Source organism: Homo sapiens, chromosome 10, assembly GCF_000001405.40.
Source record: "Homo sapiens chromosome 10, GRCh38.p14 Primary Assembly".
NCBI lineage: Eukaryota > Metazoa > Chordata > Mammalia > Primates > Hominidae > Homo > Homo sapiens.
In genome coordinates this window covers 97,257,378-97,283,911 of record NC_000010.11, presented here as the reverse complement: position 1 = coordinate 97,283,911, position 26,534 = coordinate 97,257,378, and the positions used below count along the sequence as shown (strand labels likewise).

Sequence of the window (26,534 nt, the reverse complement as noted above, 5' to 3'; positions counted from 1 at the left end):
AATGGTAAACTAGCCACTCCAATTTACCAGATAGATACAACCATTATTAATATTGAGACAGTTTTTTTTTTTTTTTTTTTAATAGAGATGAAGTTTCACTATGTTGTCTAGGCGGTCTCAAACTCTTGGGCTCATGTACTCCTCCCACCTTGGCAACCCAAAGTGCTGGGATTACAGGTGTGAGCCACCATGTCTGGTTCCTTCTGAGTCTTAAACTGTAATGCCTCTTATCTAAAATATGACCCATCCAAGATCTGATTTCTATCTTGGTTTCCCAGTTTCCTCCCAATAAGTGCATCATTTCTGGTTGGAAACAGTATAGCAAAAGAGTGATTGAAATACAATTTTTTTTTTTTTTGAGACAGAGTCTCACTCTGTTGCCCAGGCCGGAGTGCAGTGGCATGATCTCAGCTTGCTGCAGCCTCCGTCTCCTGGGTTCAAGCAGTTCTCCTGCCTCGGCCTCCCGAGTAGCTGGGACTACAGGCATGCGCCACCATGCTGGCTAATTTTTGTATTTTTAGTAGAGACGGGGTATCACCATGTTGGCCAGGTTGGTCTCGAACTCTTGACCTCATGATCCACCCACCTCAGCCTCCTGAAGATGCCCTCTGGTCACCTTCAGTGAACACTCTCACCTACACTTTTACTAACCATCTTTTAGGGTGGGTTGTTTCTACAGATGCTGGAGCCTATTTATTTTGTGCTGATGTTTTGCTACTGTTACCCGATATAAACTAAATTCAGCTAGGCCATAGAAACTACATAGTAACAGCCGGGCGGGTGGCTCACGCCTGTAATCCCAGCACTTTGGGAGGCTGAGGTGGGTGGATTGCCTGAGGTCAGGAGTTCAAGACCAGCCTGGCCAATATGGTGAAACCCCGTCTCTACTAAAAATACAAAAATTAGCCAGGCGTGGTGGCAGACGCCTGTAATCCCAGCTACTTGGGAGGCTGGGGCAGGAGAATCGCTTGAACCTGGGAGGTGGAGGTTGCAGTAAGCCGAGATCGCACCACTGCACTCCAGCCTGGGCGACCAGAGTGAGACTCTGTCTCAAAAAAAAAAAAAAAAAAAAGAAAAAAGAAACTACATAGTACTTTAAACAGAGAACATTTAATAGGTTATAAACTATAACTGGGGATTCGAGTAACAAGGAATTGGCTAGTAAGAAGTAAAGAGATCTCTAAGAAATATAGAAATAGATACAGGAATCAGCTGAGTTAGAATGTACAAGGAAGAGGGTCCCTAGGGCAGAGTTCCAGACCTTGCTGGAGATGGCATGGCCATGGCTGACTGATTGGCAGCCATTGCTCTGAAGGGGAAGATACAGAAGGGAGGGCTCAGATTCATACTGGGACAAACAGACTTACACATTCATATTTGTTAGGATTCTTCAGTTATATGTGATAGAAACTAAAACTAGCTTAAGCAAAAAGAGACTCTATTAATTGGCTCAAGAAACTGAAAAGTCCAGGGGATAAATCAAGTATGGTTTAATCTGTATGGAAAATCTCAAATCTCAGTGTTGTTAGATATCTACCTCTTTACTGTCTTAGATCTGGTTTCCTCTGTATTTGCTTCCTAAGAAGGCAGATTCTGTATAAAAAGTGGCAGTAATAGGCCACCAACGGTGTCAGTCTTACATCCCACCAGCTTAGCAATTTTAGGATTCACAAGAGTCTTGGAGTTGAGACTTTTTGTCCTGGTTTGACTTGTGGGCCTTTGCTTGGATTCATGAAGGGAATAGAATGTTTCAGTTGGTTAAGCTTGGATGACATGCTCACAGGCAGTGCCCACCAGGTCACATAGATTCGAAAGATGGGGAGAGGTTTATTGCTTAAAGGAAAATGGGGGTGCTGTTACCAGAGGAAGGGGAAAATACGTATTGGGAATTCAAAAGCAGCAGATGTCCACTGTGCTATCTCTGTAACTCCCCTGTGTACCTCTCTTTAAATTTATGTTTTGAAAAGGGCTGGCCACTAATGTGTGGCGAAAACATTTTATGTTTCTTAAAAAAACCCTGAGAAACCAAAAAGCACCTTAAGTATTAGCTCTTTTTTTCTCCCACTGTCTAACTCCTACACGTCTTTAAGATCTAGCTCAAATCTCTTGTATATGGGTAAAAGATTCTCTCCTGAATTCTTAGAGCCTTTATTGTCTGTATCATGCATTTGGCTATTAATGATCTTGTATCATCTTTTGCGTTGTGGTCTTTAGCTACTATTTGAAATCGCGTAGCACTTAGTGAATTTTCAGTTCCTGGAGGCCAGAGACTTACCTTAGTTTTTGTCCCCTATACCTTACAATACCGTAAAGTTACAAAGCAATTAGTAGATCATGATTGGATTGATTTTAAATGACACACAAGTGATCGATTTCTTGTTTGGGTACCATATGTCTCAGAAAAGCAATTCACCTTCTTATGTTGGTTGATGAAAAGATTTATAGTTAAATTTGTGAAATATTGAATATTTCTGGCTGACTACAAGTATAGAAACTCTTTTCTTTTTTGAAACAGGGTCTCACTCTGTTATGACTCAGGCTGGCGTGCAGGGGCAAGAACACACCTCACTGCAGCCTTGACCTCCTGGGCTTAGGTGATCCTCCTACCTCAGCCTCCTGAGTAGTTGGGACCGTAGACTCAAGCAACCATGCCTGGCTAATTTAAAAACAATTTTTTTTTTTTTTTTTTTTTGTAGTGACAGAGTCTTGTCAGGTTGCTTATACTGGTCTTGAACTCCTAGGCTCAAGTGATCCTGCCACCTTGTCCTCACAAGGTGTTGGAATTATAGACATGAGCCGCTGTGCCTGGCCAGAAACTCTTAAGAATTTTCAATTTGTGAACTTGTGTAGATATGAACAAGTCATGTGCCAGAACAAAAACCATTAGCTGTCTCTTGGATAGTATGTGTCACTCTGAACTTTGGAACAAATGAATATAGAAGTAGTCTTTTAGGACCTAATCAGATCATACGTAGAAGTACTTCTAGTTTTAATTGCCTGAGACTCATGGCACTTAAAAGTCTGTAGGAGGCTGGGTGCAGTGGCTCATGCCTAATGCCAGCACTTGGGGAGGCTGAGCTGGGAGGATCGCTTGAGGCCAGGAGTTTGAGACTAGTGTGGTCAACATAGTGAGACCCTGGGCTGTATTAAAAAATTAGCCAGGTGTGGTGGCACACACCTTTAGTCTTAGCACTTTGGGAGGTTGATGTGGGAGTATGGGAGGATCCCTTGAGCCCAGGTGTTGAAGGCTGAAGTGAACTATGATTGCACACTGCATTACAGCCTGGTCAACAGAGTGAGACCCTGTCTTAGGGGAAAAAAAAAAAATAGGAAAAGAGAGACTCATGAAGCATTGACTCTGATTTTTTGAGGAGCAAATATTTTTTAGATAAATGGTAAGAAAGAGACTGTATTATCAGTGAAGCATCCTATAGAACTTTTTCCAAGTTAATAGGGAATTTTGATGTTACCTTTTTTTTCTTTTAATTATTATTATTATTTTTGAGATGGAGTCTTGGTCTGTCACCTTGGCTGGAGTGCAGTGGTGTGATCTCGGCTCACTGCAACCTCTGCCTCCCGGGTTCAAGTGATTCTCCTTCCTCAGCCTCCCTTGTAGCTGGGATTACAGGTGTGCACCACCACACCCAGCTAATTCTTTTGTATTTTTAGTAGAGATGGGGTTTCACTATGTTGGCTAGGGTGGTCTTGAACTCCTGACCTCAAATGATCTGTCCACCTCGGCCTCCTAAAGTGCTGGGATTACAGATGTGAACCACTGCACCCAGCCTGATGTTACTTTCTTAATACAAATAACTTTCTTCCCATTGTACACTAGCATGAGGGAGAAAAATTAAGGAAGGTGTCAGCAGCATAATTAATGCTTATTCATATGACACCCAGAAAGATAAAAATTACCAAGCAAATAAATGAGTGAGTAAATTGGCATTATTTATACTCATCATTCTTGACTGAGAATATTACATTGTCATTCCATAGGGCAGAATCTTAGATTAGGATTCCAAAAATGTTTAGGTTAAGAAGGTAGGCAATCAAGAGTTTTTTCATCTCAGAATAGTTTGCCAGTTTAATTTTGGTTAAGTTGTATTATTAGTTTGAAATTTGGGCTGGGCGTGGTGGCTTATGCCTGTGATCCCAGCACTTTGGGAGGCCGAGGTGCGAGGATCACTTGGGCCCAGGAATTTGAGACCTGGGCAACGTAGAAAGACTTGTGTCTACAAATAATAAAAAAAAATTAGCCAGGTGTGGCTGTGCATGTCTATGGTCCCAGCTACTTGGGAGGACGAGGTGGGGGAATTGTTTGAGCTCAGGCAGTTGAGGCTACAGTGAGTCATGATTGCGCCATTGCACTCTAGCCTGGGCAACAAGGGAAGACCCAGCCTCAAACAAACAAACAAAACGCACACACACACACACAAAAGCAAGCAAGAAAGAAATTTGTTCAGGTTGAGATCAAATATAGGGGCTAAATATATTTGCAGACTTTTGGAGTCTAACTTAGAGATAATTTTGTAGTCCATACTATAAAACATTGCACAGCTACTCCTAAGGGCAGACCTTAGGGTATAAATATTTCAAAAATTTTATCTAAGAAATTGGATATCGTTCCCTGAATTGTGGTACGACTTATTAATGTTGAACTGTCTCTGGTATTAAAAAGCACCACCAGCTTGGACATGTAGGGCCTGTTTAGTTTTCTCTTCTCTTTTTATGTACAGCTTTCATGATACTGGCTTAAATTTGATACATAGAAAGAGGGAAGAATACAGTCTTTTCTTTGATAGTTGTATTTCTTATCTAACAGCTTTCCAACAAAGTGACACATTTAAAGCTGTGTTTCAGAGCCTTTTAGAGTTGAAAAAGCAGTAAGAGAGAGGGCATTCTTCTCTCAGGGTGGTAAATCAGATTTAGACAACTTTAAATATAGCTCATATTTTGATAAATCTTGCCAAGGTTGTGGTTCTTGGAAAACAAATCAAGTTAGGCAATTCACCAGGGAGGAAACATTTAGTTTTGTGGGTATGCAGTTTTGGTATAGTCAGCCAAAAGATACATCTGCAGGATGCAGTTTTTTTTTTTTTTAACTGCCTTGAATTTTGCAGATTCATGGCTTCAACATGCCTCAGAAGCACTTGCATTTCATTTTTCTGTAATTGATTTTTCAGCTGTGGATTGTTTCCAGTCCTTTCACTGAGCATATCACCTTACATGTAGGGTTCCATCTAGTGGTAAAAGTGGTAATTGTATACTGTGAGTAGGTTATACAAATTATTATTTTTTTAGTATTACTAGATTGATAAATTTATGCCACTTTGACATGATAGGCCACAATCCACCTGATTGATACTCATTTGGCACACTCTTCTCAATTCTGTTCACTGAGTTATATCTTGAGTTAGGATGAAAATAATGCAGCTTTCAGGCTTTAAAGTGACTAAATTTAAACTGCTAAGAGTCCTGACATTGTCTGCACAAGACAGCATTTTCTGTCACTTACAGAAAGTTACGTTTGGCATGTCAAGAAAAAAAGAAACATAATCCCAAAGCAGCAACCATTTAAAATAAGACTGCCACAAGGATTCGTGCAGAATATTTAAAATTTTCCTGTTGAACAAAATGATTTAACTGATTTTTCCTTCAGGGATGATGCTCTCAAATAGCTTATATGCATCTTTTGGAAATCGAAAGATCCTGGAATAGCGTCTTCCATGTGGGACATCTTGAAAGATAGTATTTTGGTTTCAGTGAGTTAGGTGAATGAATCTCCAGTCCTTATCAGTGTAATGGGTCTGCTTACAGAGTATAAGTTTGTTTCTTAGATGTGTAGAATTTATAAAGAAAGAAAATTATAGCCTGTACACCAAAGACAAGGACAGTGGTATTTATTGTACCTGATGTAGTAACTGTGGTGGAAGTTGTAGAAGAGAAAGGCAGACTTGTGGTTTTAACTCTGGAAAATGGGAATTATAATTTCCTTTAGGCTTCTCTGTTTCCCAAGATTTCCACAAAATCCATAAAAAGTCATTGTGAACTCAACATACAAAGCCTCAGCAAATCTGCTCAGATTCACTGAGTGTGAAACACTGGATCTATGTGTCACTGTGGAATTGATTGGCAACAGAGTGGCAGTTGGCACAGAACAGAAGTCTGTCCTGTTCACCACACGACAGTCTATAACTGTTGAATTATGTGAACAGTAGCTCTCATCTTCTTTACATTCTATGCAAAAGCAGCTATTATTAACAGTGCTTTATTTTATTTTTTTTATTTATTTATTTATTTTTTTTAATTTATTTTTTTATTGATAATTCTTGGGTGTTTCTCACAGAGGGGGATTTGGCAGGGTCATGGGACAATAGTGGAGGGAAGGTCAGCAGATAAACAAGTGAACAAAGGTCTCTGGTTTTCCTAGGCAGAGGACCCTGCGGCCTTCCGCAGTGTTTGTGTCCCTGATTACTTGAGATTAGGGATTGGTGATGACTCTTAACGAGCATGCTGCCTTCAAGCATCTGTTTAACAAAGCACATCTTGCACCGCCCTTAATCCATTTAACCCTGAGTGGACACAGCACATGTTTCAGAGAGCACAGGGTTGGGGGTAAGGTCACAGATCAACAGGATCCCAAGACAGAGGAATTTTTCTTAGTGCAGAACAAAATGAAAAGTCTCCCATGTCTACTTCTTTCTACACAGACACGGCAACCATCCGATTTCTCAATCTTTTCCCCGCCTTTCCCGCCTTTCTATTCCACAAGGCCGCCATTGTCATCCTGGCCCGTTCTCAATGAGCTGTTGGGCACACCTCCCAGACGGGGTGGTGGCTGGGCAGAGGCGCCCCTCACCTCCCGGACGGGGCGGCTGGCCGGGCGGGGGGGGCTGACCCCCCCCACCTCCCTCCTGGACGGGGCGGCTGGCCGGGCGGGGGGCTGACACCCCCACCTCCCTCCCGGACGGGGCGGCTGGCCGGGCAGAGGGGCTCCTCACTTCCCAGTAGGGGCGGCCGGGCAGAGGCGCCCCTCACCTCCCGGACGGGGCGGCTGGCCGGGCAGGGGGGCTGACCCCCCCCCACCTCCCTCCCGGACGGGGCGGCTGGCCGGGCAGAGGGGCTCCTCTCTTCCCAGTAGGGGCGGCCGGGCAGAGGCGCCCCTCACCTCCCGGACGGGGCCACTGGCCGGGCAGGGGGGCTGACCCCCCCCACCTCCCTCCCGGACGGGGTGGCTGGCCGGGCGGGGGGCTGACGCCCCCACCTCCCTCCCGGACGAGGCGGCTGGCCGGTCGTGGGGCTGACACCCCCACCTCCCTCCCGGACAGGGCGGCTGGCCGGGCGGGGGGCTGACCCCCCCACCTCCCTCCCGGATGGGGCGGCTGGTCGGGCGGGGGGCCGACCCCCCCACCTCCCTCCCGGACGGGGCGGCTGGCCGGGCAGAGGGGCTCCTCACTTCCCAGTAGGGGCGGCCGGGCAGAGGCGCCCCTCACCTCCCAGACGGGGCGGCTGGCCGGGCGGAGGGCTGACCCCCCCACCTCCCGGACAGGGCGGCTGGCCGGGCGGGGGGCTGACCCCCCCACCTCCCTCCCGGACGGGGCGGCTGGCCGGGCAGAGGGGCTCCTCACTTCCCAGTAGGGGCGGCCGGGCAGAGGCGCCCCTCACCTCCCGGACGGGGCGGCTGGCCGGGCGGGGGGCTGACCCCCCCACCTCCCTCCCGGACGGGGCGGCTGGCCAGGCGGGGGGCTGACCCCCCCACCTCCCTCCCGGACGGGGCGGCTGGCCGGGTGGGGGGGCTGACCCCCCCATCTCCCTCCCGGACGGGGTGGCTGGCCGGGCTGAGGGGCTCCTCACTTCCCAGTAGGGGCGGCCGGGCAGAGGCGCCCCTCACCTCCCGGACGGGGCGGCTGGCCGGGCGGGGGGCTGACCCCCCCACCTCCCTCCCGGACGGGGCGGCTGGCCAGGCGGGGGGCTGACCCCCCCACCTCCCTCCCGGACGGGGCGGCTGGCCGGGTGGGGGGGCTGACCCCCCCATCTCCCTCCCGGACGGGGTGGCTGGCCGGGCTGAGGGGCTCCTCACTTCCCAGTAGGGGCGGCCGGGCAGAGGCGCCCCTCACCTCCCGGACGGGGCGGCTGGCCGGGCGGGGGGCTGACCCCCCCACCTCCCTCCCGGATGGCACAGCTGGCCGGGCGGGGGGGCTGACCCCCCACCTCCCTCCCGGATGGGGCGGCTGGCCGGGTGGGGGGCTGACCCCCCCCCACCTCCCTCCCGGACGGGGTGGCTGCTGGGCGGAGATGCTCCTCACTTCCCAGATGGGGTGGCTGCCGGGCGGAGAGGCTCCTCACTTCTCAGACGGGGCAGCTGCCGGGCGGAGGGGCTCCTCACTTCTCAGACGGGGTGGTTGCCAGGCAGAGGGTCTCCTCACTTCTCAGACGGGGCGGCCGGGCAGAGACGCTCCTCACCTCCCAGACGGGGTCTCGGCCGGGCAGAGGCGCTCCTCACATCCCAGATGGGGCGGCGGGGCAGAGGCGCTCCCCACATCTCAGACGATGGGCGGCCGGGCAGAGACGCTCCTCACTTCCTAGATGTGATGGCGGCTGGGAAGAGGTGCTCCTCACTTCCTAGATGGGATGGCGGCCGGGCGGAGACGCTCCTCACTTTCCAGACTGGGCAGCCAGGCAGAGGGGCTCCTCACATCCCAGACGATGGGCGGCCAGGCAGAGACACTCCTCACTTCCCAGACGGGGTGGCGGCCGGGCAGAGGCTGCAATCTCGGCACTTTGGGAGGCCAAGGCAGTGCTTTAAAACAGGAAACACAGCTGTTGCAGCCTTCATAGGTTTCTGGTGCTGGAGTGGTGACTGATGGGAAGGATGTCACTGGCATTGGGGTTATCTTGGAGGTGGCGACCCACAGCAGTGGGCAGGAGAGCCCCGATGTGGTGTCCTCAGCATTGGTATCCAGAGGAAAGCTGCTACACACAACATCCTGTCAATCCCTCTGTCTCCTGCAGGCCACCTCCCCGAAATTGTTCTTTTTTGAGGGGTCTTGCCTCTATCATTCTTTGGGATAGTTGCCCAGAGCCCTTGTTATTTCTGTATGCCTACATATCTAGCTACTAATTTTCCTGGTTCTGGCCATCTATGTAAAAACTTTTATGATGAGGAAATTAGTCTTTAGTATATACTTTGATTTTCTATAATATTTATATCAAATTGAAGTGAGATTTAAGCCAAAACTACTTGGTTTCTTTAAAAAAAATTTGTCATGAAACGTCAATTATACATACAAGTTTATAAAATAATATAATCAGTATTCTTCCCATTACCCAGCTTTAGCAAATCTTAACATTTTGCCATATTTGCTTCAAATGCTCCCCTTTTCGCATAGCTCAGTGATTTATCCACAAGAACAGTATTAGCACTTCAGGAACTCTTTTTTTTTTTTTAAGATGGAGTCTTGCTCTGTTGCCCAGGCTAGAGTACAGTGGCGCAATCTCAGCTCACTGCAACCTTCACCTCCCGGGTTCAAGCAGTTCTTCTGCCTCAGCCTCCCACGTAGCTGGGATTACAGGTGCCCGCCACCATGCCCTGCTAATTTTTGTATTTTTTAGTAGAGACGGGGTTTCACCATGTTGGCCATGCTGGTCTCGAACTCCTGACCTTGTGATCCACCCACTTTGGCCTCCCAAAGTGCTGGGATTATAGGCATGAGCCACCGCGCCCGGCCTCAGGAACTCTTTCATACCTTCATGCCTCTTAATCACTGTCCACAAAAGGTAACCATTATCCTGAATATTATGGTAAATACATTTCTGCTTCTCTTTACAGTTTACCATTTAAGCAAGTATCTCTAAATACTAGTTTCGTTTATTTTTAAAATTTGATATAAATGTCATCATATAGTATGTAGTTGTCTGTGTGTGTGTGTGTTTGTGTGTGTGTGTGTGTATGTGTGGCTTCTTTTGCTTTTCATTTGTGAGATTTAGCTGTGATTGTACATATAGCTAGAGTCTGTCCATTTTCATTACTGTGTAATATTCCATTACAAATAAAGCCATTAAATTAAAATTCTGCTGGACATTTTGCTTTTTCAGTTTTGGCTGTTTAGAAAATAATGTTGTGGGTCGGGTGTGGTGGCTCATGCCTGTAATCCCAGCACTTTGAGAGGCCAAGGTGGGTGGATTGCTTGAGCCCAGGAGTTCGAGACCAACCTGCTCAACATGGTGAAACCCTGTCTCTACTAAAAATACAAAAATTAGCTGGGCACAATGGCACTCACCTGTAATCCCAACTACTCAGGAGTCTGAGGCATGAGAATCGCTTGAACCAAGGAGGCAGAAGTTACAGTGAGCCAGGATAGTGCCACTGTACTCCAGCCTGGGCGACAGAGAGAGTCTCTGTCTCAAAAAAAAAAAAAAAAAAAAAAGAGAGCAGAAATTAATGAAATAGGCTGGGCGTGGTGGCTCATGCCTATAATTCCAGCATTTTGGGAGGCTGAGGTGGGTGGATCACCTGAGGTCAGGAGTTCGAGACCAGCCTGGCTAACATGATGAAACCCTGCCTTTACTAAAAATACAAAAATTAGCTGGGTGTGGTGGTGTGTGCCTGTAATTCCAGCTACTGGGGAGGCTGAGGCACGAGAATTGCTTGAATCTGGGAGGTGGAGGTTGCAGTGAGCCAAGACTGTGCCATTGCACTCCGGCCTGGAAAACAGAGCAAGACTTCATCTCAAAGAGAAAAAAAAAGAAACTAATGAAATAAACAACAAACAGGCTGGGCGCTGTGGCTCACGCCTGTAATCCCAGCACTTTGGGAGGCCGAGGCGGGCGGATCACAAGGTCAGGAGATCGAGACCATCCTGGCTAACACGGTGAAACCCCGTCTCCACTAAAAATACAAAAAATTAGCCAGGCGTGGTGGCGGGCACCTGTAGTCCCAGCTACTCGGGAGGCTGAGGCAGGAGAATGGCGTGAACCCAGGAGGCAGAGCTTGCAGTCAGCCGAGATCGTCCCACTGCACTCCAGCCTGGGCGACAGAGCGAGACTCCATCTCAAAAAAAAAAAAAAAACAACAAACATAATCAATAGAGAGGTTCAACAAAGCTAGAAGTTGGAACCTTGACAAAGCTAATTACATTGAAAAAAAATTACCAATATCAGGAACAAAGAGGAGGACATTACTATGGAACGTAGAGACATTAAAAAAGATAAGAGGATATTATATACAAATTTATACCAATAAAGTTTGAAGGTTTATGTGAAATAGACAAATTCCTTGAAATCTACAACTTAACAAAATTAACACAAGAAGTAAAGGAAAATGTGAGTAGTCCCATAACACAAAATAAGTGGAATGTGTAATGAAAAACTTTTTCACAAAGAAAATTCTAGGTTCAGATGGCTTCATCTGCCAATTCTGTCACATATTTACAGAAGAAATAACACTAATCTCACATAAATTTTTTCAGAAAATAGAAAAATAAGACATATTGGCCACGCGTGGTGGCTCATGCTTGTGGGATACCAAGGCGGGCAGATTGCCTGAGCTCAGGAGTTCGAGACCAGCCTGGGCAACACGATGAAATCCCATCTCTACTAAAATACAAAAAAATTAGATGGGTGGGGTGGCGTGTGCCTAGTCCCAGCTACTCAGGAGGCTGAGGCAGGAGAATTGCTTGAACCTGGGAGGTGGAAGTTGCAGTTAGCTGAGATCGTGCCACTGCACTCCAGTTCGGGTGACAGAGTGAGACTCTGTCTGAAAAAAAAAAAAAAAAAAAAAAGACATATTTCCCACCTAAGTGTATAAGGCTAGAACAACCTTGATATAAAACCTAATGAAGACATTACAAGGAAAATTTAAGACCAATCTCACTTATGAATGAATGGGAAATCTAGACTATTAGCAAACCAAATTCAGCAACATGTAAAAATGATAATACATCATAACAAAGTTGAGTTATTTGAGAAATGCAAGGTTGGTTTAACAATAGAAAATCTGTATTATTTACCATAAAGGAGAAAAATTATATGATCATCAATAGAGGCACAAAAAATTTTTGATAAGTATTTGATAAAATTAAACACCAATACACAATTTTAAATAAGTAAATATATAAATAAATATATATATCTCCTCTGGAAGGCAGAGGCTGCAGTGAGCCAAGATTGTGCCACTACACTGCAGCCTGGGTGACAAGAGTGAGACTCTGTCTAAAATAAATAAATAAATAACATAGCAAACTGAGAATAAAAATATACCACCTGAATTTGATTTTGCTAAGTGATGAGTAGGGAAAGATACTATTTTTAAATTTGCTTTATTCTGATAACTTGTAAAGTTGAGATTCTTTTTATGTTTATTAGTCATTAGGTCCCCTCCTCTGCGTTACTGATCATGTCATTTGACTAATTTTCTATTGAGTCAAGTGTCTTTTCCTTATTAATTTTTTGGCTTACTGGTAAATTCTGAATACTGATCCTTGGTTATATGCATAGCAAACATGTTTTTTTCAGTCTGTGGCTTGTCTTGTATTTTATTATTACTTTTAAAGTTTTAGATTTATTTATCTATTTATTTATTTATTTATTATGAATGGATAGTACGTTCAAATGAATATAAAATCCAGAAAATACAAAAGAGCATACAGTGAAAACTTTCTCTCCCACTCTTCTTCCCCTTTTATCCATTTCTCTTTAGAGGCATTGTGACTTCATTTTTAAGACATTTAGTATGTAATGTCATTTGTTATACAGAAAAATTTAATGTAGTTAAATTTATGATTCTTTGGAGATTGTGCTTTTTATGTCTTGTTTAAGAAACTCTTTCTCTGTTGCATTAATTTATTCTATATTGTTTTTTAATGTTTTTAAATTTGGCTTTTCATATTTAGATCTTTACTTTGTTTGGAATTTATTTTTTGTCTGTGATGTGAGGTAGGGATCACCCCTCCCCCATATTGTAAAACTACCTGTTATATGCTTTTACATTTGTAACTGTTTCATCTAGCATAGCTTAAGTGGTGATGGGAGTCTGCTTTTGAGCTTCATCTATGCATTGGCAAATACAGTTAATTAACTGGTCTAGTTTTTTATCTCTATTTTCCTTCTTGCAGATGAGTGCTCAGAGTCCTAAGTACTGCCTTTCAGGCCCCATAATGTGCCCTTGTATCCTCTAACATGTCTGGAATTTGCGTAGGCTGTGCTGGGGCAGGGAAAGGAGAGTTTCTTTGTCACAACAAACAAGGGGAAAGCTTTCTTCCTGTCTCTTCGATTTACCAATGCCTCATCAGAAACTTTCAGCACTTATGTAAGAAATGTATTTATTTTCTTGAACTTTAGTATATTTCGTTTGTTTTACAATATTGTAGAGTAGAAAGTTGTTTTTGCTTAAATATAGTAGTTTTTTCTTTAGTCCTATACATTTCTTAAGTTCTTAAATATGTTTCTTGATATTTTTAGCTTTATATTGTGGTGTTGTGTATTCTTTGGAAAGGGATTAGTGGGCTTTGTGATATGGGAATAACTTTAAGAAAAATAACCCGCTGTAACTCTTTTCCATCTTTCATCTTCCATTTGATTTCTCTTTTAACTATTTCCATCTCTTAGATATTGTTTTACCAGGTGGTCCACACAGAAAAAGTGAGAAAAGAAAAGTAGGGGAAAAGAAAAGAACTAGCTTAAGGAAATTAAAGTGTGACATAACAAGAAAGAATGAACATGGGAAGAAAGGGGAGAAAAAACAGAGGGGAAAAGAAACTGAGATTGTTTACATGTTACTTATGTGTTAGGAGATCCAAGGTATCTTTTTTTTTCTTGTATTCCTTATAAGTAGTAGGAGCAGTCTTGAACCTGTTTATTCTTCTACCTGTTTGTGCTGTTTAGGAGGGAGTAGTTTTGGGGATGATGTCCAAGTAGGAAGGATTCTATTGAAAAACGATACATGTTGCTTCTAGTTTCTTTCTCACTTATGTACAGTATTTGATCCAGTTTAGTGCTGGAAGGGTCAACTGTGTTGAAAGTGTTAGAATCCTGAGTTTTGCTCTGGATATTAATAAAAGTGTAAGTTTTAGGTATGTATGTGTTTCTGTTTCAGGAATATAATGGTTCCTATTAATACACATTTTTATGTTAATGCTAATTTGATCTGAATCAGTTATTGAGAATTAAAAGGGATGTGAATTCCAGAAAATGATTAGTTTAGACTCAATAAATTATAAGACTCTTTTTGGTGCTACGCATTTTATGATTTTTCTGGCCCTCCTGATAGGGTAGTAATTTCTCATTGGCAGTGATTATAAACAATAGTCTTATATTGACCCGTGCTTCTTGACTGAAATAAGCTGATGTTAAAAAAAGAGGCTCTTGTCAATGATTTAAGATGAAGTTGCTTCTAATTCTAATTGGCTTTTATTTATCATCATTGGCATTTGAACAGGAAAAATAACCTAGCGTGTAAAAAGGTTGAAGAGAGAAGCATTTTAAATTCTAGTTTTTTTAGTTACTTTTTGGCTTGAGGACATACATTCCTAGTTTTTAATTTTTATGGTATTTCTGATAATACATTGTCATTTCAGAGAAAAGAAGGAATCTCCTAGCCACCAGCTGAAGATGTGGGCTATTGATTAAATCATGTAATAAGTTTTCAAGGAAATAGAGACGAATTTTGAAGTTTACCCATGCCTTGTTTTCACTATACTGTTATTAACAATTATCCATGTAGTATTGACAATGTCCTTTGTAGATTAGTTATATTTAATATTTAGAAGTGCCATCATTTTTCCTGGAACAGGGCTTTGGTACCTAGGGTATAATGGACCACTTTTAAGTTGTGATTGCTTTTACTGTGGGTATGTTTGTATGAGTCAGGTGAATTTCAATTCTGCCCGACTGAGATATGATAACTTGTCCTTTCTAGCTTATGTGTTATGACCATTTGTTGGTTATATAATAGATGACTGCTTATGTAATAAAGATTAGAACAAGCCATTAGAATTTATTGTTAATGGATACAAACTATGTGTCTGCTCTAAGAGTTTCAATTATACAGTTCTTAAATATAACAACATATTAGAAGTAAAAAGGGGTTGATATGGTTTGGCTATGTCCCCACACAAATCTCGTCTTGAATTCTAGCTCCCATAATCCCCACGGTTGTGGGAGGAGCCCAGTGGGAGGTAATTGAATCATGGGGGCAGGTTTTTCCTGTGCTGTTCTCTTGACAGTGAATAAGTCTCACAAGAGCTGATGTTTTTATAAAGGGCAGTTCCCCTACACACGCTCTCTTGCCTGCTGCCACGTAAGACATACCTTTGTTCCCCCTTCGCCTTCCAGCATGATTGTGAGGCCTCCCTAGCCATGTGGAACTGTGAGTCCATTAAACCTCTCTTTCCTTTGTAAATTACCGAGTCTCTGGTATGTCTTTATTAACAGCGTGAGAACAGACTAATACAGTAAATTGGTACCAGTAGAGTTGGGTACTACTGTAAGGATACCTGAAAATGTGGAAGCGACTTTTGAACTGAGTAACAGGCAGAGGTTGGAACAGTTTAGAGGACTCAGAAGACAGGGAAACGTGGGAAAGTTTGGAACTTCCTAGAGACTTGTTGAATAGCTTTGACCAAAATGCTGATAGTGATATGGACAGTGAAGTCCAGACTGAGGTGGTCTCAGATGGAGATGAGGAACTTGTTGGGAACTTATATAAAGGTCACCCTTGCTATGCAAAGAGACTGGTGGCATTTTGCCCCTGCCCTAGAGATCTGTGGAACTTTGAACTTGAGAGAGATGATTTAGGTGGAAGAAATTTCTAAGTGGCAAAGTGTTCAAGAGGAAGCAGAGCATAAAAGTTTGAAAAATTTGCAGCCTGACAATGCAGTAGAAAAGAAAGACTCATTTTCTGCAGAGAAATTCAAGCTGACAGCAGAAATTTGCGTAGATAAGGAGGAGCCAAATGCTAATTTCCAAGACAATGGGGAAAATGTCTCCAGGACATGCCAGAGACCTTTGTAGCAGCACCTCCCATCACAGGCCTGGAGGCGTACAAGGAAAAATGATGTTGTGGGCTGGGCCCAGGGCCTTGCTGCTTTGCACAGTCCCTTGCTGCTTTGCGCAGTCCCTGGACTTGGTGCCCTGGGTCCCAGCTATGGCTAAAAGGGGACAGTGTATAGCTCAGGCCATTGCTTCACAGGGTGCAAGCCCCATGCCTTGGCAGCTTACATGTGGTTTTGGGCCTGCGGGTGCACAGAAGTCAAGAATTGAGGTTTGGGAACCTCAGCCTAGATTTCAGAGGATGTATGGAAATGCCTCAAGGCAGAGGTGTGCTGCAGGGTTGGAGCTCTCATGGAGAACCTCTGCTAGGGCAGTTCAGAAGAAGGGAAATGTGGGATGGGAGCCCCCATACAGAGTCCCCATTGGGGCACTGCCTAGTGGAATTGTGAGAAGAGGGCCACCATCTTCCAGATCCCAGAACTGTAGATCCACTGACAGCTTGCACTGCAGTGGAAAAGCTGCAAACACTCAATGCCAGCCTGTGAAAGCAACCAGGAATGGGGATGTACCCAGCAAAGCCACAGGGACAGAGCTGCCCAAGACCATGAGAACCCACCTCTTGCATCATCGTGACCTGGATGTGAGACGTGGAGTCAAAGGAGATTATTTCAGAGCTGTAAGATTTAATTACTGCCTTGTTGGATTTCAGACTTGCATGGGGTCTGTAGCCCTTTGTTTTGGCCAATTTCTCCCATTTGGAATGGGTGTATTTACCCAATGCCTGTACCCACATTGTACCTAGGAAGTAACTAACTTGCTTTTGATTTTGCAGGCTTATAGGCAGAAGGGACTTGCCTTGTCCCTGATGAGACTTTGGACTGTGGACTTTTGAGTTAATGCTGAAATAAGTTAAGACTTTGGGGGACTGTTGGGGAGGCATAATTGGTTTTGAAATGTGAGGACATGAGATTTGGGAGGGGCCGGGGCAGAATGATATGGTTTGGCTGTGTCCCCACCCAAATCTCATTTTGAATTGTAGCTCCCATAATCCCCACATGTCATGAGAGGAACTCGGTGGAAGGTAATTGAATCATGAGGTGGTTTTTTTCCCTGCGTGAATAAGTCTCATGAGATCTGATGGTTTTATAAAGGGCAGTTACCCTTCACACACTCTCTTGCCTGCTGCCATGTAAGATGTGCCTTTGTTCCTCTTTCGCCTTCTGCCATGATTGTGAGGCCTCCCCAGTCATGTGGAACTGTGAGTCCATTAAAGCTCTTTTTCTTTATAAATTACCCAGTCTTGGGTATTTCTTCACAGCAGTATGAAAATGGACTAATACAGGGGTATAGTAGGCATTGGGAAACAAAGAACAGGGAAGAAAATATTTCTGAGATTCAAAGGAGCTTTGCCAGGAGTATAGCCCAATGTAATGTAAGAGTGGAGAACCAGCTAAGATCAGGAGCCCTAGAGAGAAGAACCTGTCTGAGCAGAGGTTGGACTTAGATGATGACGAATGGGTCAGAGGCATCCAGAATTGAAGGATTTTAAAGTAAAACCTATTTGTGGACATGGGAAAAGCTGAATTAATTACTGTTTTATGTACCTGTAAATGCCTTCCCTTCTGTGAGGCTTTGTGGTTATAAGGAACAGTGTTCAAGGGCATCTGGCTCAGTTAAAGGAAGCTGACTATAAGGAAACCTCTGCCTTTGCGTGGAGTCAGGACCAAATAACCCAATGAGTAGTGCATAAGAAACATACAAAAATGATGTCCCGAAAGATTTTCTTCTGTGTTTTTCAGTGATGCCATCTGCAGTTTTGTGATCTGCAATGATTCTTCCCTTCGAGGTCAGCCCATTATCTTTAATCCTGACTTTTTTGTGGAGAAACTCCGACATGAGAAACCTGAGATTTTCACTGAGTTGGTGGTCAGCAATATCACAAGGCTCATCGATTTACCTGGAACTGAGTTGGCTCAGCTGATGGGGGAAGTGGACCTTAAGTTGCCTGGCGGGGCTGGCCCAGCATCAGGATTCTTCCGGTCTCTCATGTCTCTCAAGCGAAAGGGTAGGAGATGTGTTTGTGAAGGGTGGGCAGGCCTCAGCTGCTCCCTGGGCTTCTCTCTCAACATCTACACATTCACCGAAGAGTTGCTATTAACTTAAAGCATTTTTTGGCCATTTTTTCAGTTTTTATAAGTAGTAACACCTTAAGTAATAGTAATACAAATTATAAAAACTGTCTAGATAAATAAATAATTAAACTAAAGCAAATATTTTCAGTCCCTGAGAGAAGACATGATTAACTTAGGTAGTCATCGGGGCATCTTGATTTTCATGCCCTATTAATATGTGAAAATAATATTTAAAAACCAAAGTTACATAGCTAGAGACTATAGAACAGAATGCTTGAATTTTCTTTTTTTGAAGGGATGGGGTCCCACTTTGTTGCCGATGCTGGAGTGTGGTGGTGTCATCATAGCTCACTGCAGCCTTGAATTCCTGGGCTCAAACTCTCCTTCTGTTTCAGCCTCCCACTAGCTGGGACTACAGGTGCATGACACCATGCCTGACTGTTCTCTATTTTTTGTAGAGATGGGGTCTCACTATGTTGCCCAGGCTGGTCTCAAACTCCTGGCCTCAAGCAGTCCTCCCACCTCAGCCTCCCAAAGCGCTGGGATTACAGGTGTGAGCCACCATGCCTGGCCTTCTGTTTGTTTGTTAAATTAAATACTAACACGCTAGATATCTCCTTACTTACTAGATATATGCTTCTTACTTGAATAAGAAGATGGTCTTTCCCTTCAGGGAACCTACAGTCTAATATTGAACTTAGAGAGAGCTGATTGAGAGTTGTCCTGCTCGCGTTTTCTGGTGCACTTCCAGTTCTAAGGTTTTTGTTTACTGACCATGTGAAAATGCTTGCTGAATTGTAAAATAGGATGCTTGAGTGGTTTTAGGTATGATGATTTTGTACTATTTGTGTGAAATATAGCCCTGTCATATCATATGGTTTTTCAGAAAAAGGAGTGATATTTGGGTCCCCACTGACGGAGGAAGGCATTGCCCAGATATACCAACTGATTGAGTATCTACACAAAAGTAAGACTACTTGAAATTTTATCATTCTTTGTTTAATGAAGAATTCTGTTTTCTGTTGAGAGCTAACTGCCTTGAGTTAGTAGGTGCCAATTAACCATCAACAAAGGAACTAACCAGTGTTAATTTTGGGTGGCATGTTTTTAAATATATTTCCTTTTAAACTTCATCTCATATATTCATTTGTTTTATACTCTCAAAGTGTATATAAATTAGACCGTGTCTATGAAGTCACATTTACCTCTTGCCTCAGAGAGACACTTCTGGAAAAATACATTGTCCCTAAAGAATTGTTGCATTTATTTAAGAGAGCATGGTACCTTTTTTCTCCAGAATTCTATGATTAAAACACACTCTTTACTTTTTTTTTTTTTTTGAGACAAGGTCTCGTTCTCTCACCCAGGCTGGGGTGCAGTGGTGTGATCTTGGCTCACTGCAGCCTTGACCTCCCGGGCTCAGGTGATTCTCCCACCTTGGCCTCCCTAGTAACTGGGATCACAAGCTTGCACCACCACACCCGGCTACTTTTTGTAGTTTTTTGTAGAGATGGGATTTTGCCATATTGCCTAGGCTTGTCTTGAACTACTGTGCTCAAGTGATTCATCCGCCTAGGCCTCCCAAAGTGCTGAGATTATAGGCGTGAGCCATTGAGCCTGGCCTAGGGACGAATAGTTTAGTTGGGATGACCCTAAAGCTTCTGGGAATCTCTTAGGAATTTGACACATTAGAGTTCTAATTCCTGGAGCAATGCAGAGACTCTGGATTCATTCTGGGCTGGGAAAACAGTTTACAAGAGCCACAAACATCCACAGATGTATGTAGCCCCTCCAAACGAAGTCTGGGATAAACAAGAAGAGGTCTTTAGGGAGATTTGGCTTTTTTAAAGTTTATTTTTCAAGCTATTCCTGACCATTGATTGGGTTAAATTCAGATTGTCTATCCATACCTCAGGAGGTTGAATGACTCCCAGGAGGACTACCTTTTAGTTTGGAAGATCTCCAAATGCTCAGGGACATTCAGATATGTCTCCTCAGGAGGTCAATAGGTTCTAAACTACCCTGGTGAAAAAAGGCAAAAACTTACTTGAAAGGCTTTGTGAAGGGTCTTTTAAGTGTAAAGTAGTCTTTAGACCATTTATTTTAATAATAATCTTTCTGCTTCCTTTTTGCCTGTCCTCTGCTTTGTTTTATGCTAAACAGACTTGCGAGTAGAGGGTTTGTTTAGAGTACCGGGTAATAGTGTCCGACAGCAGATTTTAAGGGATGCTCTCAATAATGGAACTGACATTGACTTGGAATCAGGGGAATTTCACTCAAATGATGTTGCCACTTTGCTGAAGATGTTTCTAGGAGAGTTGCCGGAGCCTCTGCTGACACATAAACACTTCAATGCACACCTCAAAATCGCTGGTGAGTATAGGAAGTAAGAAGGAGATGTAAATACATTTCTTTCAATTTAGTAAAGTTCCTAGGAAATTTCTGTTGCTTGTGACCCACAGAAATACTTCTATTAATATTGGTTAAGATTTCGTGATGTTGCTGGACTTCTCTGGGTACTCATAGGTATTGGCTAGTTAAGTTTAATTTTAATTGAATGGCTTTCTTGATAAATAAGCTTTGTATTGAGATAAGGAGCTGGTAGTAAGATGTCGTCTGAGTTTTATTTATTTTTGAATCTCTGATAGATCCTCGAGTAGTGTGTAGAACATTTTAGTTGGAGACATGATCTCACTCTGTCACTTAGGCTGGAGTGCAGTGGTGCAACCTTGGCTCACTGCAGCCTTGCTCTCCCGGGCTCAGGTGAGCCTCCCACCTCAGCCTCCCAAGTAGCTGGGACTATAGGTGTGCGGCACCACGCCTGGCAAATTTTTTTGTAATTTTTGTAGACATGGGGTTTCGCCGTGTTGCCCAGACTCAAACTCCTGGGCCAAAGCCATCTGCCCACCTTGGCCTCCTGAAGTGCTGGGATTATAGGCATGAGCCACTGTGCCCAACGTGTTTTAGTTGCTTAATAAATGTATGCTTTTCATTGGATTGATTCATATATTTCAGATGTTTATAGGTTCGGTATTTTTGCCTTGGTTTGGGGTTTTTGCTCAGTATTTCTATGCCTCGGTTGAGGGCATCTCTACTCTTGGAAATTTTATTTGTTTGTTTGTTTGTTTTGAGACTGAGTCTCGCTCTGTCACTAGGCTGGAGCGCAATGGTGCAATCTCGGCTCACTGCAACCTCCGCCTCCCGGGTTCAAGTGATTCTCCTGCCTCAGCCTCCCGAGTAGCTGGGACTACAGGCACGCGCTACCACGCCTAGCTAATTTTTGTATTTTTAGTAGAGACGGGATTTCACCATGTTGGCCAGGCTGGTCTCGAACTTCTGATCTTGTGATCGGCCTACCTTGGCCTCCCAAAGTGCTGGGATTACAGATGTGAGCCACTGTGCCCAGCCAAGGAAATTTATTTTTTTTAAAAATTATTATTTGTTTTCTGAATAGAAACACATAGTTCAAAATTCAGATGATTCAAATAATATACAGTAAAAACCTTCTCTCCTACACTTGTTCCCCAACACCCAGTTCACCCAGTCCCCAACACCAGTAACACTGGTTAGTGTTACTGATTTAAAAAAAAAAAAATTTTTTTTTTTTTTTTTTAAAAGAAAGCCTGTTCCCCAGGCTGGTCTCAAACTCCTGGCTTCAAGTGATCCTCCCTCCTCAGTCTCCCAAAGTGCTAGGATTGCAGGCATGAGCCGCAGCCCCCAGACCAGTGTTACTGATTTCTAAAGTATCCTTCCAGAGATATTTTGTGTACTTCCAAACAAATACATATATTCCTTTTCTCTGATTTTTATGTAATAGGTTACACACATGGTTCTGTGGTTTGCTTTTTTCACTTACTGTATCTTGGAGAGTGTTCCATTTTCAGCTCATAAATAGTTTCTTCATACTGCTTTATACCCATGTGGTAGGGAATTCATTCTTAAATTGCACGTCTGTTATGCTGCTATGGGCTCTAAGTGTTCACAGCATCAATATCCATTACTGCAGTTGCTTAGTTTCCTGCCCCTGAGTATTTTTCCTGTTTCTTCTAATTATATGGAAAAGAAATAGAAGATTTTTTCCTTTTGAATAATTTTTACTACTTAAAGAAACAAGTGTTGAATTTTAAAAATCTAATACGATTAGTTTTTTTTTTTAGCTCTTTTAGTAGCAATCCAAATGATGCAATGAGTAAATACTACTAGAATGTTATACAATTTTACAGTTATTTTGGGGAGAAATAAAGATGTTAGACCTTTGAAAAAGATTTGGAAAATATTCTTTTTACAAGTGTTAACATGAAGGATGCTTGTTTTGTTTGCTTTCCAGTTCAGTTCATTCGTTTAGTGCAATATTTGAAATCCTCCCTTCCACTACCCTGTGATTGACTGTTCTTTGAGAACATACTGAGGCGTGGCACAGTTGTAGCCTTTCATATGCCTTGCTGATAACTGGAAATAATTTTTGTTTTCAGTTTCATATTAACAGAGAACATTTTCTAGAAATGTTACCTGCCCTTCCTAAACCTGGAATTATTGAGGTTAAACAGCTTAAATAACACACTGTAATCATTTTTACATCTATGTGAGTTGTACTCAAATGGTTATTAGTGTCCTTTGAAATTCTCATTATCCAGGGGACTGTTTTCATTGATAACCTTTTTAGTCTGTTAGGGAAGAACCAATAATTCTGACCCTATTGGGAGCTGCCTGTTATAAGGAGCAGCTTGTGAATAAGGACATTCATTCTCATTTTTCATTCTCATTTTTCTTTTAGCTGTAAAATATCTGAGTGGGGAAAAGTGGAGTGAGTAGCATTATCAAAGGCATGTGTGGATCTTTTTTTTTTTTTTTTTTTTTTAAATATAGAGATGGGGTTTCACCATGTTGCCCAGGCTGGTCTCGAACTCCTGGGCTCAAGTGATCTGCCCACCTTGCCCTCCCAAAGTGCTGGGGTTACAGGCATGTGCCACTGTGCCTGACTTGGATATGTGTTTATTTCTCTTGGGTATATACCGAGGAATGGAATTTCTTGGTCAAATGATAACTCTCATTTTTTGAGGAACTGCCAAAATGTTTTCTAAGTGGTTATATCATTTTATATGCCCACCAGCAATATAGGAGGGTTTAATTTTCTCTGCATCTTTGCCAACATTTTTTATTGTCAATCTGTTTGTAGTTATAGCCATTGTAGTGGATATGAAGTGGTATGTCATTGTGGTTTTGATTTATAGTTTTTTGTTTTGTTTTGTTTTTTCTTTTTTTTGAGATGGAGTCTTGCTCTGTCGCCCAGGCTGGAGTGCAGGGGCATGATCTCGGCTCACTGCAAGCTCCGCCTCCCAGGTTCACGCCATACTCCTGCCTCTGCCTCCTGAGTAGCTGGGACTACAGGCGCCCACCACCATGCTGGGCAAATTTTTTTGTATTTTTAGTAGAGACAGGTTTCACTGTGTTAGCTGGGATGGTCTCGATCTCCTGACCTTGTGATCCGCCCGCCTCGGCCTCTCAAAGTGCTGGGATTACAGGTGTGAGCCACTGTGCCCGGCCTGATTTATAGTTTCTTGATGGCTAATGATACTGAGCATACAAAGCCTTCTTGGCCACTTGTATACCTTCTGAAGGAATGTCTATTCAAATCCTGTACACATTAAAAAAAATTTTGGCCGGGTGTTGTGGCTCACGCCTGTAATCCCAGCACTTTGGGAGGCTGAGGCAGGCGGATCACAAGGTCAGGAGATCGAGACCATCCTGACTAACACGGTGAAACCCCGCCTCTACTAAAAATACAAAAAATTAGCCGGGCGTGGTGGCGGGTGCCTATAGTCCCAGCTACTCGGGAGGCTGAGGCAGGAGAATCGCTTGAACCCGGGAGGCGGAGGTTGCAATGAGCTGAGATTGTGTAACTGCACTCCAGCCTGGGTGACAGAGCAAGACTTTGTCTCAAAAAAAACAAAACAAAACAAAACAGGTTTTTTAATCTTTTTATTGTTGAATTGCATTGACATTATTTTGTTATTATGTTTTGCTGTAGTCTTTGAATTGTGTTTCTGCCTGAATCTTTTTTCCCTCTTTCTTTGATGGGAGTTGAGGGGAGGATAATGGTGATAGCACTGATTTTTCTTGCTGATATTTTCTCCCCACTTTGCAAATTCTCTTTTGTCCTCAAGATTTGATGCAGTTTGATGATAAAGGAAACAAGACCAATATACCAGACAAGGACCGGCAAATTGAGGCTCTCCAGTTGCTCTTCCTCATTCTCCCTCCTCCTAATCGTAATTTGCTGAAGTTATTGCTTGATCTCCTATACCAGACAGCAAAGAAACAAGACAAGAACAAGATGTCAGCCTATAACCTTGCCCTTATGTTTGCACCCCATGTCCTGTGGCCAAAAAATGTGAGTGTTGACGGGAAGAGTAAAGATTGCTTGGTTTTCTTGGGCTGGGCCTCATTCTATGGCTGTACATTGGTGAGATTATCAAGGGTCCAAGGTCTAGCCTTCAGCTTTATGAGGTTGGGAACTTACTTTATTAGTTCATTGAAGAGTCATCAGACCTGAGAGGGCCAATTCCTGCTAACCTCACTTATAAATCAATCTCTGGTAAACCTACATGGCATTGTATTAGTAGAAACTCTTAGTGGGAAATTATAACTACTGAATAAACTAGAATACTCATTTTGGCTGTTCATTGTGGAATCCTTAACAGGAAAGGCTTCTTGGGAAATCAAATTAGTTTCTGAAGATCAAATGTTATAAAATTAGAATAGAGCTGTGTGATCTTATGGGATAATGTCACCAAGCTTATGGATTTATAGATGAGATGACACTTGGAGCAATCCTGCCTTGTCCTGACTTTTGTATTTCCTGTAGATATGTAGTCTCCTTGGATAAAGCTGAACTTGCTTCTTCTTATGGAGACCATGGTCTTCTCAGTGACTTACAAGAGAAATAAACTCACTCTCTTTTTTTTTTTAAATGCCTGAGGGATAAAAACACAGAGAAATAAATTCTCTGAAGTCTTTTTTTCTGTTTTTTTGAGACAGGGTCTCGTTTTGTTGCCCACGCTGGAGGAGAGTAACACAATCACTACTCACTGTAGCCTCATCTAAAGTCTTTTAAACAACTTGTTGACCTGGAGGTACATAGCTCATATTCCTGCCCACTTATAATATGGTTTTACTATGTGATGGAGTTGTGAGCCAGGATAGGTGGGTTGGAAGCCACACACCAGCGATGTTACCTATGTCTTTTACCTTTTTTTTTTGAGACAGAGTCTTCCTCTGTTGCCTAGGCTGGAGAGCAGTGGTGCAATCTCAGCTCAGTGCAATCTCTGCCTCCCAGGTTCAAGCAATTCTCCTGCTTCAGCCTCCTGAGCAGCTGGGACTACAGGCGTGAGCCACTATTCCTGGCTAATATTTGTATTTTTGTATTTTTAGTAGAGATGGGGTTTTGCCATGTTGGTCAGGCGGGTCTCGAACTGCTGACCTCAGGTGATCCACCCGCTGCTGCCTCTCGAAGTGCTGGGATTACAGGTGTGAGCCACCGCGCCTGGCCTTTTACCTTTCATGTTTTAAACAGCTGTCTACAAGCCATTTTTTGTTTGTTTAGTCTTTTGCCTTTTCTATGCATAGGCTTTTCCTCTGTAAACTGGGCATAATACAGTAAGTCCTCAACCTATTAACATCGTTGATAGGTTCTTGGAAACTGAAACTTTAATCAAAATAATCTATAACAAAACAAATTATTTTTCTCATCAATGTTATAATGAAAAGATGTTGAAGAAAATGATGTTATTCGAGGACCTGCTGTATGTCGGTTCACTTAACGTCATAGTTTCCAAGAACCTATTGATGCCTTAAGTGAGGACTTACTGTAATAGCTTTACTACATACCCCACAAGGCTGTTGGGAAGATAATAGAAATAGGTTATAGTAATTTATAAAAAATTTTTGAGATTATAAGTAATGAGAAAAGGAAGGTAAAGGAGAGAGATTGTGTGAAACATTTTACTTAAAAAATAACTAGTGAAAAAATAATAAAGTTCTGGGTCAGGAAGAGCCTCTGGGGGTGAGTAGGGGGAGCAGAAGACACATCAACATTTGTCCATATTAAGGAGATCAAGCCTTATAATGAAGGAATTTTAGAACCAGCTAACCAAGACTATAGAAAAGCAGTGAGCAAACTGTGGTTATAAAAAGAAGTAGTGACTTACGCCTGTAATCACAGCACTTTGGGAGGCTGAGGTAGGAGGACTGCTTGAGGACAGGAGGTTGAGACCAGCCTGGGCAACACAGTGAGACCTTGAGACCTTGAGACCTTGTCTCTACAAAAGGAAAAGAAAAATAAGCTGGACGTGGTGGCACATGCCTATACTCCTAGCTACTTGGGAGGCTGAGGTGGGAGGATCGCTTGAGCCAAGG

General features: G+C 43.2%; 1 protein-coding gene and 1 long non-coding RNA gene across 4 annotated transcripts in view, besides 1 other annotated feature; both read left to right on the top strand.

Annotated features, from left to right (window-relative positions):
- Window positions 1-26,534, top strand: part of ARHGAP19-SLIT1 (ARHGAP19-SLIT1 readthrough (NMD candidate)) — a 139,632-nt gene that overhangs the window by 8,762 nt on the left and 104,336 nt on the right. The window contains exons 2-5 of the long non-coding RNA NR_037909.1: window positions 17,787-18,052; window positions 19,006-19,086; window positions 20,283-20,492; window positions 24,284-24,510. This is a non-coding gene — a long non-coding RNA (ARHGAP19-SLIT1 readthrough (NMD candidate)). The remainder of the gene's footprint in view (window positions 1-17,786; window positions 18,053-19,005; window positions 19,087-20,282; window positions 20,493-24,283; window positions 24,511-26,534) is intronic.
- Window positions 1-26,534, top strand: part of ARHGAP19 (Rho GTPase activating protein 19) — a 70,459-nt gene that overhangs the window by 8,726 nt on the left and 35,199 nt on the right. For 2 of the 3 annotated variants that reach the window (NM_001204300.2, NM_032900.6), the window contains exons 2-5: window positions 17,787-18,052; window positions 19,006-19,086; window positions 20,283-20,492; window positions 24,284-24,510. In NM_001204300.2, coding sequence (NP_001191229.1) covers window positions 17,787-18,052; window positions 19,006-19,086; window positions 20,283-20,492; window positions 24,284-24,510 — 784 coding nt within the window. Of the gene's footprint in view, window positions 1-13,254; window positions 13,307-17,786; window positions 18,053-19,005; window positions 19,087-20,282; window positions 20,493-24,283; window positions 24,511-26,534 lie in introns of those variants that run through there. The other variant, NM_001256423.2, reaches the window with a different exon arrangement.
- Window positions 15,813-16,317: an enhancer, noted in NCBI's record as "NANOG-H3K27ac-H3K4me1 hESC enhancer chr10:99027352-99027856 (GRCh37/hg19 assembly coordinates)". NCBI's record gives its function as "activates a minimal SCP1, AML or CMV promoter by ChIP-STARR-seq in primed H9 embryonic stem cells {active_cell/tissue: H9 hESC(primed)}" and the evidence as "EXISTENCE:reporter gene assay evidence [ECO:0000049][PMID:30033119]".